At 45.7% G+C, this 14,928-nt stretch overlaps 2 protein-coding genes across 4 annotated transcripts in view; both read left to right on the top strand.

Annotated features, from left to right (window-relative positions):
• ARPIN-AP3S2 (ARPIN-AP3S2 readthrough) overlaps window positions 1-14,928 on the top strand; it is an 82,354-nt gene that overhangs the window by 36,282 nt on the left and 31,144 nt on the right. The window contains exon 8 of the mRNA NM_001199058.2: window positions 5,125-5,196. Coding sequence (NP_001185987.1) covers window positions 5,125-5,196 — 72 coding nt within the window. The remainder of the gene's footprint in view (window positions 1-5,124; window positions 5,197-14,928) is intronic.
• AP3S2 (adaptor related protein complex 3 subunit sigma 2) overlaps window positions 1-14,928 on the top strand; it is a 63,396-nt gene that overhangs the window by 17,324 nt on the left and 31,144 nt on the right. For all 3 annotated transcript variants that reach the window (NR_037582.2, NR_023361.2, NM_005829.5), the window contains one exon: window positions 5,125-5,196. Coding sequence is in view for 1 of the 3 variants with exons in the window: in NM_005829.5 (NP_005820.1) it covers window positions 5,125-5,196 (72 nt within the window). In the remaining 2 variants the exon portion in view is untranslated. The remainder of the gene's footprint in view (window positions 1-5,124; window positions 5,197-14,928) is intronic.

Below are 14,928 nucleotides of genomic sequence, written 5' to 3'. Positions count from 1 at the left end.
TGCTGTGCCTCTGCCTCTGAAGAGAGATGAACTGGAAATCTGGCTTAAACTTCTGCTAAATCTTAGTTTCTCAATGCTCTTCTTTCTCTCTTGTCTTCTGCTTCCTGTACTACTTCTGCTTCTTTCCTATGCATGTCATATTTATTTATTTACTTATTTTTCACACGCAACACAGATGTAGTTTTTATCTTGAACAGGAGCAAGATCTGATCCATGGTTTTCTTTCTTTCTTTTTTTTTTCTTTCCTTTTTGGAGACGGCGTCTCACTCTGTTGGCCAGGCTGGAGTGCAGTGGTGTGACCTCAGCTCACTGAAACCTCCACCTCCTGGGTTCAAGTGATTCTCCTGCCTCAGCCTCCCAAGTAGCTGGGACCTCAGACATGCATCACCACGCCTGGCTAATTTTTGCATTTTTAGTAGAGACAGGGTTTTGCCATGTTGGCCAGGTTGGTCTCAAACTCCTGAATCTCAGGTGATCTGCCTGACTTGGCCTCCCAAAGTGCTGGGATTACAGGTGTGAAGCACCATGTCCAGCCCATGGTTTTCTTTTCCTGCTTCTAGATCATGATCGTTCTTCTCTCTGCTTCTGGATTGAGACTACTTCTTTTCCCTCTACTACGATGATGCCTTTCACGAGACCTGTATCTTGAGTGACTTCTGCTTCTTGATGGCTTTCTTTGTGTTTGTGTCTGTCCTCATCATTTTCAGATGAATGTATTTATTTATTGAGACAGCATGTCACTCTGTTGCCCAGGCTGGAGTGCAGTGGCACAATCACAGCTCACTGTAACCTCTGTCTCCCCGGCTCAAGCTTCTCACCACAGCCTCCCGAGTAGCTGGAATCACAGGCACACACCACCACGCCTGGCTAACTTTTGTGTTTTTTATAGAGACAGGGCTTTGCCATGTTGCTCAAGCTGGTCTCAAACTTGTGAGCCCAAGCAATTTGCCCACCTTGGCCTTCCGAAGTACTGAGACTACAGACGTGAGTCACTGCGCCCAGCCCATTTTCAGATGAATTTAGTCCCTCTCTTCCTTTATCAGAATAATGTTCTTTGTCATTATGCTCCTCAGAAGTGTATTTCTTAGAGGATTTGTTGTAGGATTCCTGTCTTCTTGCCTCATCATGAAATAGGCTTATTATTTTCCTACCTGAGTCTGCAATGTCTTCAGTTCAGCCTCTTTGCCCATCAGCATGCGCTTTGTGTTTTCGTCCTTCGTTTTCTTTCTTGTTTTCTTTCTCTTGACCTTGATTGTGATCTTGAATAATATTTTGAGTAAGAAAAACAGATGCATCTGACAGTTCTTTTTCCACCCACTATCTGGGGATGTCTTTTTCTGGGGCTAGTCCATCTTGTCCTGGATAACTACCCTATCTTGAGAACCCAGTCTTAGTTTCATGAAACATCTTTAATGAAAACAGCCTTTTGGGATGGTGCTGCTGCAAACTGTGGTCTGGCTCTCCTCGCATGTGCTCTGGCTGCCGCAGAACAGAGCTCAGGCCGCTAGGGGGCACCTCCACGTGCCGCTTTTAGCAGTACCAGCCACCTCAAAGCTTTGCCACAGACTGAATAGCTCCTTCCGGGGGCCTGGATGGCACCCAGGGGATCTGCCGTTGCTTTTTTAATTTATTTTTTTACATTTAGCTCATTAATATCTGTTAGATATTTTTATGTCTGCATTGAAATATGTAACTTTATTTTTCCCCCAAAGGATAACTGTTCCAACATTATCAGTTAGCTTGTCTTTTCCCCACCAACTTAAAATACGACTCTTATTTTTAAAATTGCATTTTATAAACATGTATGTTTCAGTAATTTATATTCTGCCCCACTGATCTATATTCCCATCTTAGAATTATACTTTTATTTTATTTTTAAAATTTATTTAGAGACAAGGTCTTGGTATGTCACTCAGGCTGGAATGCAGTGGTGCAATGATAATTCACTGCAACCTTGAATTCCTGGGCTCAAGCAATCCTCCCACCTCAGCCTTCCAAGTAGCTGGGACTACAGGTGTGTGCCACTATGCCTGGCTAATTTTTTTATTTTTATTTTTTTGTGGAGACGATGTTTTGCTATGTTGCCCAGGCTGGTCTCAAACTCCTGGGCTCGAGGGATCTTCCTGTCTTGGCTGCCCAAAGTGTTGGGATTATAGGCATGAGCCACCTCACCCAGCCTTAGTATTATACTATTTTAGTTAACAAAGCTTTACAATGAATTTTGATACCTAGAAAGACTGCACCCAGGTGAAATAAACAGCCTTGTTTCTCACACAAAGCCTGTTTGGTGGTCTCTTCACATGGACACGTGAGACAGATTTCGCTAGGGAAGCAAATAACCATGGAGGTGGGCAAGAAATATCCATGATTGTAGAGCTTTCAATCAGCCTTTTATTCTTGTAACAAATGAAAAACAAAGGATTATCAGACATCTGCGGAAAACCTCTAACATAGAAGAAGGAGATAAAATGAACAAACAATAAAAAGCAACTTAAAAATGGACACCATATAAAGAAAGGAAAACAGTTTAAAAAAAAAAAAAACCCAAAACCCTATTCTTAAGCTACAGAGAAAGCCTGGCCAACATGGTGAAACCCTATCTCTACTAAAAATACGAAGTATTTTAGCCAGGCATGGTGGCACATACCTGTAGTCCCAGCTGCTCAGGAGGCTGAGGCAGGAGAATCACCTGCACCCGGGAGGCTGAGGCTGCAGTGTTCTGAGATCACACCACAGCACTCCAGCCTGGGTGACAGAGTGAGACCTTGTCTCAAAAAAAAAAAAAAAAAAAAAAGCCACAGAGAAATAAGACATTTATTTTAAATAATAATAAGACCCATTTATTAATTAGAAATAAAATAAGACCCATTTATGTCTTATTGCTAAATGGGTGCTAAACAAAAACACTCACAGCCTTGTTGCTCACACAAAATGAACAAAATGGTCTCTTAGAAATAAAAAATGAGAGGAAATGGAAACAAACAAAAACCCACTTCAACTGAAGTATTAGAAAATCAAGTTAATCAATTGTCTCAGAATGGGCAGAGATGGAAAATGGGAGAGAAAAGATGAGAAAATAAGACAGAGGCCGGGCACAGTGGCTCACGTCTGTAACCCCAGCACTTTGGTAGGCCAAGACAGGGGGATCACTTAAGGTCAGGAATTGGATATCAGCCTGGCCAACATGGTGAAACCTCGTCTCTACTAAAAATACAAAAATTAGCCAGGCGTGGTGGTGCATGCCTGTAATCCCAGCTACTCAGGAGGCTGAGGCAGGAGAATTGCTTGAACCCAGGAGGCAGAGGCTGCAGTGAGCCAAGATCGTGGCACTGCACTTCAGCGTGGACAACAGAGCGAGAGTCTGTCTCAAAAAAAAAAAAAAAAGAAGACAGACAGAGGTCCAATACTTGAATATAAGCAGCTCCAAAAAGATTGATTAGGAATGTGGAAAGGAGGGAATTCTCAACAAAATAATTCGATAAAATTTCCCAGAACTGAAGGACTTGAACTGCAGGATTATAAGGGCTTACCAAGTACCCAGCATAGTGATTGAGAAATAGACCCATTTAACTATGTGTCCTTATAGTGAAATATTCTGGCACTGTTAAAAATGTAAAGATTTATGAATGGCACTAATATGAAATTATTGTATGTGGTTTTTGGCATACATGTATATATCTGTTAGATATGTTATCTGGGAGTAGAATTCCTAGATCATAGAGCATGCATACATAATGTCATAGTTTTCCAAAATGGTTGGTATCTGGCAAAATACAGTGCACTGGTTACCAGTCTCAAGAAAGGAATCTAAATGCTCTTGCCCATTGCATCTTGGTATCAGAGTCGGCAAGGAAAAAGTGCAAACACTGGATAAAGCTTTACTTACATAGAGAAGAGACAGAGCAGGATCAGCTCCAATAGTGTGCGTTGGTTCCTCATGGCAAGTGGGTCTGTCTCCCCAGCAGCCGCTGCAGGGTGGTTTGCCTATGAGCACCCATCTTGTGCTACAGTGGAACGGTGTGCCTGGTCTCTGTCACTTGCTGGCCTCAAGTAAGACCCATTTTCATGCAGTGCCGAACAATTCATGACACTGCTGACAATGAGATTGTTTAAATGAGGTCATTGTCTGAGAGAAATTAAACAGTTATAGATAGATACCTAGGTTGTAGTTACATGGTGTGTTCATTCTGAAAATTCATTAAACTGTGCCCTTGTCATTTGTACACTTTTCTGTTATGTTTTATTAAAAGTTAAAAGGTTCTATAGAGAAGTAAGCTCAGGGCTTTTAAAAAAAAATTTTAAGTTGTAAACACGTCAATTAAATTTATTCATAGGAAGGTATTTTGTAGGCTAAATAACTGACCAAAAAAATTAAAAAGGGAAGATGTTTTGAAGTTAATTTTGGCTGAAATTAAAACACAGCTATGTTAACCCTGTAATAATGAAAAATTTTTTGTACATGTATTCATTGAGGACATAGTATTGTAAGTAGTTGGTTTTTTTAATTTGTTATTCTTTTATGTAATTTTTTTTCTTTTTTCTTTTTTTTTTTTTGAGAGACTCTCACTCTGTCACTCAGGCTGGAGTGCAGTGGTGCGATCTCTGCTTATGGCAACCTCCACCTCAAATGATTCTCATTCAAGCTATTCTCGTGCCTCAGCCTCCCAAGTAGCTGGGACTATAACAGGCTCGTGTCGCCACACCCAGATAATTTTTGTATTTTTAGTAGAGATGGGTTTTCGTCTTGTTAGCAAGGCTGGTCGTGAGCTCTTGGCCTCAAGTGATCCTCCTGCCTTGGGCTCTCAAAGTGCTGAGATTGTAAGTATGAGCCACCATGCCCTACCATAAATTAGCATCTTATAAAGGGGGAAAGAGCCACATGTGTCTGCTGGTTGTGTTGCTATGCTGAAAACAAGGTTTTCCTGTCCTAGATTATTCCCTCTAAATCGAGATAAGTAGGGTGATCAGCTAATGCTGGAGACAAAAGGTAGGTGTTTTAATTTTTGAGATTTATCATAAAGTAAATAGTATTGTGACAGCCCCTTTTACTTTCAGATGTGACATTGATAAAGCTGTGAATGTGTTCCTATTTCTCTTCTTTATCTATTTCTCCTTGTTTTCTAGGTTTTTGTGGAAACTCTGGATAAGTGTTTCGAAAATGTGTGTGAATTGGATTTGATCTTCCATATGGATAAGGTATATTCTCTTGCAGTTCTCTTCCAAACTAGGGTTACTAGAAAACCAAGAGCCTTGGGCATCTGTAGCCACCTCTACATCTTCATATTGTTTCTTGTTTTTTTTTACTCTTAAGATAGTCCTAGAACATGTTTTATTTAATAGATTTAATAGTTTGGGTTTTGTTTTGTTTTTGCTAAGATCTACTAACAGTTTTAACGTGCATAAGATTATTACTAGGCCTATATCGTGGTTCATCTGTTCACAGACTGATTTCTTGATATAGGAGAATGATGTCACTGGCTACTTGGCCAAAGGTGAGATAAATAGTTTTATGCTGATTATAAAATTAGTTTCCTAGTCATAGGCCAGTGACAATGAAACTTTGGAATAATCATGACGCAGGGGCTTTGACTTAGATAGTAAAATTTATATCTTTCCTAAAGAGTAATATAGTGACTAAGAGATCTGTAATGTAATTCAAGGTCAGGTGATATTCTATAGGAAGGTAGACTATCAGAGGCAGAATTAAAATGGCCCCAAGTAGGTGTTCTCAGATTTGTTTTGCTAGGATAACTGTGACATGGCCTATGTCCTCATATGCCAAATTAAACTTGGGCAATAGCCAGCAAGGGAATAGGAATTGCCATGTTTATTTTATTCAACTTACCACATGCTGTCCCCTGTGCAGTTTACTGGTGCGTCTTTGGTTTGCTTGGTCCTGGTTTTTCTTCAACTGATTGTTGTCATTATGATCCCTGGCCCTTGGAGAGAGATGATTTTTTAGGAGACTGCTGCTCATTGCTAAGCCATGATCCTTTATTAACCTTTTCATCATGATGAAGTAGGAGTTTTTAGATCCATCGTTGCTAGCATTGCTGTCTAAAGGACTTTCTTGTTGTTTTTCAATAGGGTCTTCAGTCTTAGTTGACTCTGTTGAGGTTGGCAGATCCCCACTTTCCAGGCTAATGTAGTGAATGCATTCTTGAGTTTGGATGACATTAGAATGGAGTAAAGTTTTGTCTCTCACCATCTGACATGGCTCTGTGACTCTATCAGCATCCTAGTGCAGGAACATCATGGAACCCTTTTCCTTCTTTAGATACTTAACTTTGGACTCCCTGACAACCTCACGGGGCTTCCAGTATTTACTGATGCTTTTGAGTCACCCTCCCTTTCATATGAAAGGGTTGTATACTTTTTGGAAACTTCAGCGATCTCTTAGCACCCTTTCTTTGCAAGCACTTAGAGTTGTTTTGTACTTTTCATATGTTAAAGATTTGCTATTTTGCAACTTCTGTCAAGGAGAGCCATAGCTCAAATCTAGTTCCCTTTTGTACTAGAGGAACTAGAGTCCCTTTCAAGTATTAAAGAGACTTGAAAATATAGGGGGAATGGAGAGGTGCCTTCTGTAGGCCTTATTGTTATGATTTTAAAATAATATTGTTAAATACAGGCCGGGCGTCGTGGCTCACACCTGTAATCCCAGCACTTTGGGAGGCTGAGGTGGGCAGATCACTTCAGGTCAGGAGTTTAAGACCAGCCTGGCCAACATGGCAAAACCTTGTCTCTACTAAAAGTACAAAAATTAGCCAGGCGTGATGGTGCACGCTTGTAATCCCAGCTATTCAGGAGAATCGCTTGAACCCGGGAGGCGGAGGTTGCAGTGAGCCGAGGTCGCGCCACTGCTCTCCAGCCTGGGCAACAGAGCGAGACTGTGTCTCAAAAAAAAAAAAACAACCAAATTGTTAAATACAAGGTGTTACTTTCGAAGTTACCACCTAGTGTGCAAAGTGGGTTCTTTGAAGATGCCACCTGTTGCTCACCAGGCTGCAAATGAATTTCTTAACATCTCAGGTGTAGATTCAGGGATTCAAGGATAGATTTTACTAGGAAAGGGGGAGTTTTCTTTTTTTTTTTTTTTTTTTATTGATAATTCTTGGGTGTTTCTCACAGAGGGGGATTTGGCAGGGTCATGGGACAATAGTGGAGGGAAGGTCAGCAGATAAACAAGTGAACAAAGGTCTCTGGTTTTCCTAGGCAGAGGACCCTGCGGCCTTCCGCAGTGTTTGTGTCCCTGATTACTTGAGATTAGGGATTGGTGATGACTCTTAACGCGCATGCTGCCTTCAAGCATCTGTTTAACAAAGCACATCTTGCACCGCCCTTAATCCATTTAACCCTGAGTGGACACAGCACATGTTTCAGAGAGCACAGGGTTGGGGGTAAGGTCACAGATCAACAGGATCCCAAGGCAGAAGAATTTTTCTTAGTGCAGAACAAAATGAAAAGTCTCCCATGTCTACTTCTTTCTACACAGACACGGCAACCATCCGATTTCTCAATCTTTTCCCCACCTTTCCCGCCTTTCTGTTCCACAAAGCCGCCATTGTCATCCTGACCCGTTCTCAATGAGCTGTTGGGCACACCTCCCAGACGGGGTGGTGGCCGGGCAGAGGGGCTCCTCACTTCCCAGTAGGGGCGGCCAGGCAGAGGCGCCCCTCACCTCCCGGACGGGGCGGCTGGCCGGGCAGGGGGCTGACCCCCCCACCTCCCTCCCGGACGGGGCGGCTGGCCGGGCAGAGGGGCTCCTCACTTCCCAGTAGGGGCGGCCGGGCAGAGGCGCCCCTCACCTCCCGGACGGGGCAGCTGGCCGGGCAGGGGGCTGACCCCCCCACCTCCCTCCCGGACGGGGCGGCTGGCCGGGCAGAGGGGCTCCTCACTTCCCAGTAGGGGCGGCCGGGCAGAGGCGCCCCTCACCTCCCAGACGGGGCGGCTGGCCGGGCGGAGGGCTGACCCCCCCACCTCCCTCCCGGACCGGGCGGCTGGCCGGGCAGAGGGGCTCCTCACTTCCCAGTAGGGGCGGCCGGGCAGAGGCGCCCCTCACCTCCCAGACGGGGCGGCTGGCCGGGTGGAGGGCTGACCCCCCCACCTCCCTCCCGGACGGGGCGGCTGGCCGGGCGGGGGGCTGACCCCCCCACCTCCCTCCCGGACCGGGCGGCTGGCCGGGCAGAGGGGCTCCTCACTTCCCAGTAGGGGTGGCCGGGCAGAGGCGCCCCTCACCTCCCAGACGGGGCGGCTGGCCGGGCGGAGGGCTGACCCCCCCACCTCCCTCCCGGACAGGGCGGCTGGCCGGGCGGGGGGCTGACCCCTCCACCTCCCTCCCGGACGGGGCGGCTGGCCGGGCAGAGGGGCTCCTCACTTCCCAGTAGGGGCGGCCGGGCAGAGGCGCCCCTCACCTCCCAGACGGGGCGGCTGGCCGGGCGGAGGGCTGACCCCCCCACCTCCCTCCCGGACGGGGCAGCTGGCCAGGCGGGGGGCTGACCCCCCCACCTCCCTCCCGGACGGGGCGGCTGGCCGGGTGGGGGGGCTGACCCCCCCATCTCCCTCCCGGACGGGGTGGCTGGCCAGGCTGAGGGGCTCCTCACTTCCCAGTAGGGGCGGCCGGGCAGAGGCGCCCCTCACCTCCTGGACGGGGCGGCTGGCCGGGCGGGGGGCTGACCCCCCCACCTCCCTCCCGGATGGCACGGCTGGCCGGATGGGGCGGCTGGCCGGGTGGGGGGCTGACCCCCCCCACCTCCCTCCCGGACGGGGTGGCTGCCGGGCGGAGCCGCTCCTCACTTCCCAGATGGGGTGGCTGCCGGGCGGAGAGGCTCCTCACTTCTCAGACGGGGCAGCTGCCGGGCGGAGGGGCTCCTCACTTCTCATACGGGGTGGTTGCCAGGCAGAGGGTCTCCTCACTTCTCAGACAGGGCGGCCGGGCAGAGACGCTCCTTACCTCCCAGACGGGGTCTCGGCCGGGCAGAGGCGCTCCTCACAACCCAGATGGGGCGGCGGGGCAGAGGCGCTCCCCACATCTCAGACGATGGGCGGCCGGGCAGAGACGCTCCTCACTTCCTAGATGTGATGGCGGCTGGGAAGAGGCGCTCCTCACTTCCTAGATGGGATGGCGGCCGGGCGCAGACGCTCCTCACTTTCCAGACTGGGCAGCCAGGCAGAGGGGCTCCTCACATCCCAGACGATGGGCGGCCAGGCAGAGACACTCCTCACTTCCCAGACCGGGTGGCGGCCGGGCAGAGGCTGCAATCTCGGCACTTTGGGAGGCCAAGGCAGGCGGCTGGGAGGTGTAGGTTGTAGTGAGCTGAGATCACGCCACTGCACTCCAGCCTGGGCACCATTGAGCACTGAGTGAACGAGACTCCGTCTGCAATCCCGGCACCTCGGGAGGCCAAGGCTGGCGGATCACTCGCGGTTAGGGGCTGGAGACCGGCCCGGCCAACACAGCGAAACCCCGTCTCCACCAAAACCAGTCAGGCGTGGCGGCGCGTGCCTGCAATCGCAGGCACTCGGCAGGCTGAGGCAGGAGAATCAGGCAGGGAGGTTGCAGTGAGCCGAGATGGCAGTAGTACAGTCCAGCTTCGGCTCCGCATGAGAGGGAGACCGTGGGGAGAGGGAGAGGGAGAGGGAGAGGGGGAGGGGGAGGGGTAGGGGGAGAGGGAGAGGGAGAGGGAGAGGGGAAAAGGGGGAGTTTTCAAAGCAAGAGAAGAGCCCATGGAGAGGTGTATTGAGGTGTCTCTGCTGGAATGACTCCCATCACCCACCTCCTCCAATGCTGTCTTTTTTATCAGGCACCTGTGAGAGTAGCTTTGCTAGTGGAGAGATAGGCAGAATGCTTAGACACCACGAAATCTGTATTTGTGTGCCAGCTGCTTATAGATGTTGTCTAGGGGCCGGGTGCGGTGGCTAACGCCTATAATCCCAGCACTTTGGGAGGCCTGAGGTCGGGAGTTCGAGACCAGCCTAACCAACATGGAGAAACCCCGTCTCTACTAAAAATGCAAAATTAGCTGGGCTTGGTGGTGCATGCCTATAATTCCAGCTACTCAGGAGGCTGAGACAGGAGAATCACTTGAACCCAGGAGGCAGAGGTTGCAGGGAGCCGAGATCATGCCATTGCACTTCAGCCTGGGCAACAAGAGCAAAACTCCATTTCAAAAAAAAAAAAAAAGGAAGTTGTCTGGGAATGCCAGCTGCCCAACACCTGGAAACTTAGGGACCTGTGGGATAATACACACCTGGAGAAGACAGCTGTAGGTGCTGTGGGAAGTTGTGCTTGGGTGCAGCCCCTCTCACTGGGAGAAGGGGTAGCCTCCCAACCCCCTAGTCTAAGCTAGTTCATTGTCTAGGCAACGTGGAGTATACCTCCATGGTGACTTTTTTTTTTTTTTTTTTTTGAGACGGAGTCTCGCTCTGTTGCCCAGGCTGGAGTGCAGTTGTGTGATCTCGGCTCACTGCAACCTCTGCTTCCCGTGTTCAAGTGATTCTCCTGTCTCAGCCTCCGGAGTAGCTGGGACTACAGGTGCCTGCCACCATGCCCGGCTAATTTTTGTATTTTTAGTAGAGACAGGGTTTCATCATATCTGTCAGGCTGGTCTCCAACTCCTGACCTCAGGTGATCCACCCACCTCAGTCTCCCAAAGTGCTGGAATTACAGGCGTGAGTGAGCCACCGCGCCCAGCCTCCAAGGTGACTTTGAAAGTCAACATTTGTTGTTTTGTGTTTTACCTTCTTTGCTCCGTGTTATTTGTAAGAATCACCCATTTTGTTACATGTGGCCTTAGGAAGTTTAATTTCATTGCTGCATAGGATTTCATTATATGAATTTATCCATTCTATGACTGATGGAATTAGATTGTTTTGAGTTTGGAGCTTTTATGAAATATGTTGTCATGAATATTCTTGAAAATGGATGCTATTGTACATTTTTGTACATTTTCTTGAAACATCTATTTCTCTTAACAGTGCAATTCCTGGGTCATAGGTGAGGCCTCTAGAAGGAAGAAACAGGCCTCTAGAAGGAAGCACAAAAGCACCAGCAGGGCTGCAGCACTGGCAAAAGAAGTCTGAGGCTCAAGGCCTCTGGACTGTAGACCATAGTATCTGCCACTTTGTTAGATAATGCCAGAGTGATTGTATCCATTTATACTTCTACCAATCGGGGGTGAGTGTTCCCAGTGCTCTGTATGCTCACCAAAGGTTTATATTCTCAGTGTGGTAATCATTAGAACTGTTAACTAAATATTTACAGTTCTTTCCCCTTCGAGAAACATGGTAAAATTATACTAATATGCCTTCCTGAAGTTAGGTGTAGCCATGTGACTTGCTTTAGCTAATGAAGTGTGAGTGGAAGTGCCATGTGTCACTTCTAGGCAAAACTTAGGAGCCAGTGCTAATATATATAATAATGGAATATATATATATATATTCCATTTGTGGAAGCATGGACACACAGCCTTCCAGGGCCTGGGTCCCTAACTGAGGATGAGGTAGAGCAGTGCTCCCCAGTGGACGCACAGTGGATGTGTGCATAGTATGAGAGAAATAAACTTGTTACTTTAAGCCATGAAATGTTAAAATTGTTACTGTGACTTAACCAAGCCTGTCCTGACTGATGGATATAGAACTTAATTTTTATCCAGCTAGTAGGTATGTACTGGCATTTCATTGTCATTCCAATTGCATTTCTTATGAAGATGAGCATCTTTTCTTGTTTATTGCCTATTAGGAGGTCCTCTCTAGTGAAATGTTTATTCAGGGCCTTTGTTCTTTCTTCTGTGAGGTTGTCTGCCTGTGATTTAAAAACGTATTTGTAAGGACCGGGCACAGTGGCTAATGCCTATAATCCCAGCACTTTGGGAGGCTGAGGCGAGTGGGTCAACTTAGGTCAGGAGTTTGAGAACAGCCTGGACAACATGGTGAAACCTTGTCTCTACTAAAAATACAAAAATTAGCTGGGCGTGGTGGTGTGCCTGTAGTCCCAGCTACTTGAGAGGCTGAGGCAGGAGAATCACTTGAACCCGGCAGCCGAGATCACACCACTGCCCTCCAACCTGGGTGACAGAGCGAGACTCCGTCTCAAAAAAAAAAAATGTGTTGGTAGAAGTTGTATTGAATAGAAGTAGTGACAGTGGGCATCTGCTCTGATTCCTGGTTTCAAAGGGAAGCTTTCATCCTGTCACCATGAAGTAGAGTATTTGCTATAGGTTTTTTTGGTAAAGATTGTCAGGTTAAGGATGTTTCTTCCTTTCTCTTCCTACTAAGGATTTTTAATCATAAAAGGATGTTAAAATTTATCAAAAGCTTTTTTTCCAGTTCCTGAGGTAATCATGATTTTTTTGCATCATCATTCTAATACTGTTTTGTAAACATCTGTAAGGATGCCTGCTAAAGCAGTAAAGTAATTCCAGTTCCAGCCATTTTATTGGATGTGGCTTTTAGAAGGAAATAAAAGGCCATAAAAATGTTGTTCTTCCTCATATGTCTTATCTTCAGATAAGTTCCATAAAGTATTTTGCTGCCACTGCAAATTTTTTTTACAGTTTATGAAACTATGTATTTTTGTTGTTCATGCAGTATTAGGAAATAACTGTTCATATCTCCTGAGATTTTTGAAAACAAGTGATGCAAGGAATCAGAATCCTACCCTATTCAGCTTTAGAATGTCTGAGGCTTCCAATAGGTGGCTTCCTTTTCATAGGATTTCAAGCTTATCTTTGCCCTCATAGAGAGCAGTTGCTAATTCAAGTATAGCTTCTTCTGTTGATAATAGAAAATGATCTTTTTACTAAGATAGGCAAAAGCCTTGTCCTAAGACAATAGGAACATCACCTTGAACTCTGTTCTTTTTAACTAAAGAATCTCTTCACCTTGAGGTCAGAAACTCTCATCAGTTCCTAGGTCTTTAAGATCTTCATTAGATAGTCATGGATAGATGCCCCATCACCTTAAGCAGATGTGGCCGGAGTAGTAGGCCTGTGTAAAGACCAGCTATGACTGAATTCCTTGGCTCTGCCAAGTTGTTTATTCCTAATCTTGTGATTTCTTGTTTAACCTCCTAAGTTGTTTTTGTATACTCTTTTTATCACTGCTTCTCTCTTTTTCACCTCCTCTCTCTCCTTTTCTTCCTGTGTTAAAGGAGGGTTTATTTCATTCCATTTCTAGAGCCAAGTTATCTTTCTGTCTCTCCCCGACACACACCATAATGTCACTTCTTGCACTGGTCTCTAAGGTGTCCTTAGTGTTTGTTCTTCTGTGTCTACACAGAATGCCCTGGTCTCGGAGTGAATACAGCCCTTCCCATGGCTCTACTGCCCCACTAACTGTAGTTCCATTTCCATTGTTCTCATGCAAGGTGAACTTGAATTCGTGGGTGATTTACGCCCAGTCTTTAATTCTACTTTCTCTGTTCTCTTTCTAGAGTCCCATAGCCTGGTTTTCAGTCCTACCCAGAATTCACTGATGATTTCCCAATTTTCAAATCCTGTGGCCGTTTCCTAGTCATCACCTTTTTTATTGTTTCTGTGGTATCTGATACTGTTAACCCTTCAGTGGAGCACTCTCTTAATCTTTTTCCACCTTTCTTTCTGTCATATAGAACCCTGCTGATTTCTTTCCTATTCTTTTCCCACTCTATCAGGAAGTTATGTTGTCAGTCATCTCTCACCTCTCTCTTCTCCCTCTCATATTTCTAGCATAAATCTCATCCATATTTCATGTTCTAGGTCTTGAAGCAAAACTTGGGTATTTAAAAAAAAATTTTCATGCTCACACTATTATCTATGTAGGTAATTCCCAAATGGGTAATTCTAGTCTTGATGTATGGCTCGAGTCCTATTCCTGTATTTCCAACAGCCTGAAGGCATTTCTCCCTAATGTCATTCTCACATCTAAATTTCTTCTTGCCACGTATCCAGAGCCAGCTTCAGCATATGTCTTCTGAAAACCATTTCTCCCTGCAGCTTCCCTTTTCCAGGAGTGTTACTACCATCCTCTGTCATCTACATTCAAAACCTTTTCTCCCTCTTCCTCGCTCCCAAGGTCCAGTCAATCACTAAATCTGTTGCTTTTTTCTGTAATGTCCTTCTTTATATCTTGTTCTTAGATTCACCAACTATTAACATTTGGCATACTTGCTTTTATGTCTATATACATATATACTTTTTTTCCTGAACGATTTTGAGAATTAGTTGCAGACATCATAACTTTTCATCCCTAAATATGTCAATAAATATCTCCTAAGAGCAAGGATATTCTTATATAATACATTGTATGTAATTCTCTAATGATGCACAACACAATTAACATAGTTGGGAAATTTAACATTAATAAATATTGTTTTCCAATATATAGTTCATATTTAAGTTTCCCAATTGTCCCAGAAATGTCCTTTAGATCTTTTTTTAAATCTCAGTTTCAGTTATGAGTCAAACATTGTCTTTAGTTGTCATGTCTCTTGATTGTTTCTGGCAGGTTTTCTAACCTTATTCTCTCTTCCTTCTTGTTGATCCCACATACTGAAATTAGTTTTTCTAATGTACTTCTTAGACTAGCCTTGACTCCTTGGCCGGACACATTCAAGGCTCTCCACAATTTGTGCCCATCCTATCCTGGCTTTACTTCCGTAACTACTGGCCAGACACTTTCTGCTCTAGCCACAGTGGACCACTCCTACTTATTTTGTAGTTCCTGCCTCAACTCTCTGCCTGAATTGTCTTTTCATGTACTAAATACTGCCTGTCATTCAAGTGCTGCTCAAATCCTACCACCCTAAAGCTTGCCCTCATGGTCTAGCCTATTGTGATCTCTTTGAACCAGGTATAGTATTATTTTTATCCTTCTGTGACCTTAATTTATGTACCTTTCTATGTTTTCCCTGCTTGGTTAGACTGCCTTATCTTTGTATTCCTCACTGAA

Source organism: Homo sapiens, chromosome 15 (assembly GCF_000001405.40).
Source record: "Homo sapiens chromosome 15, GRCh38.p14 Primary Assembly".
Classification (NCBI taxonomy): Eukaryota; Metazoa; Chordata; class Mammalia; order Primates; family Hominidae; genus Homo; species Homo sapiens.
Note: the sequence above shows the minus strand (reverse complement) of the source record. Positions and strands in the feature narration are given on the sequence as shown.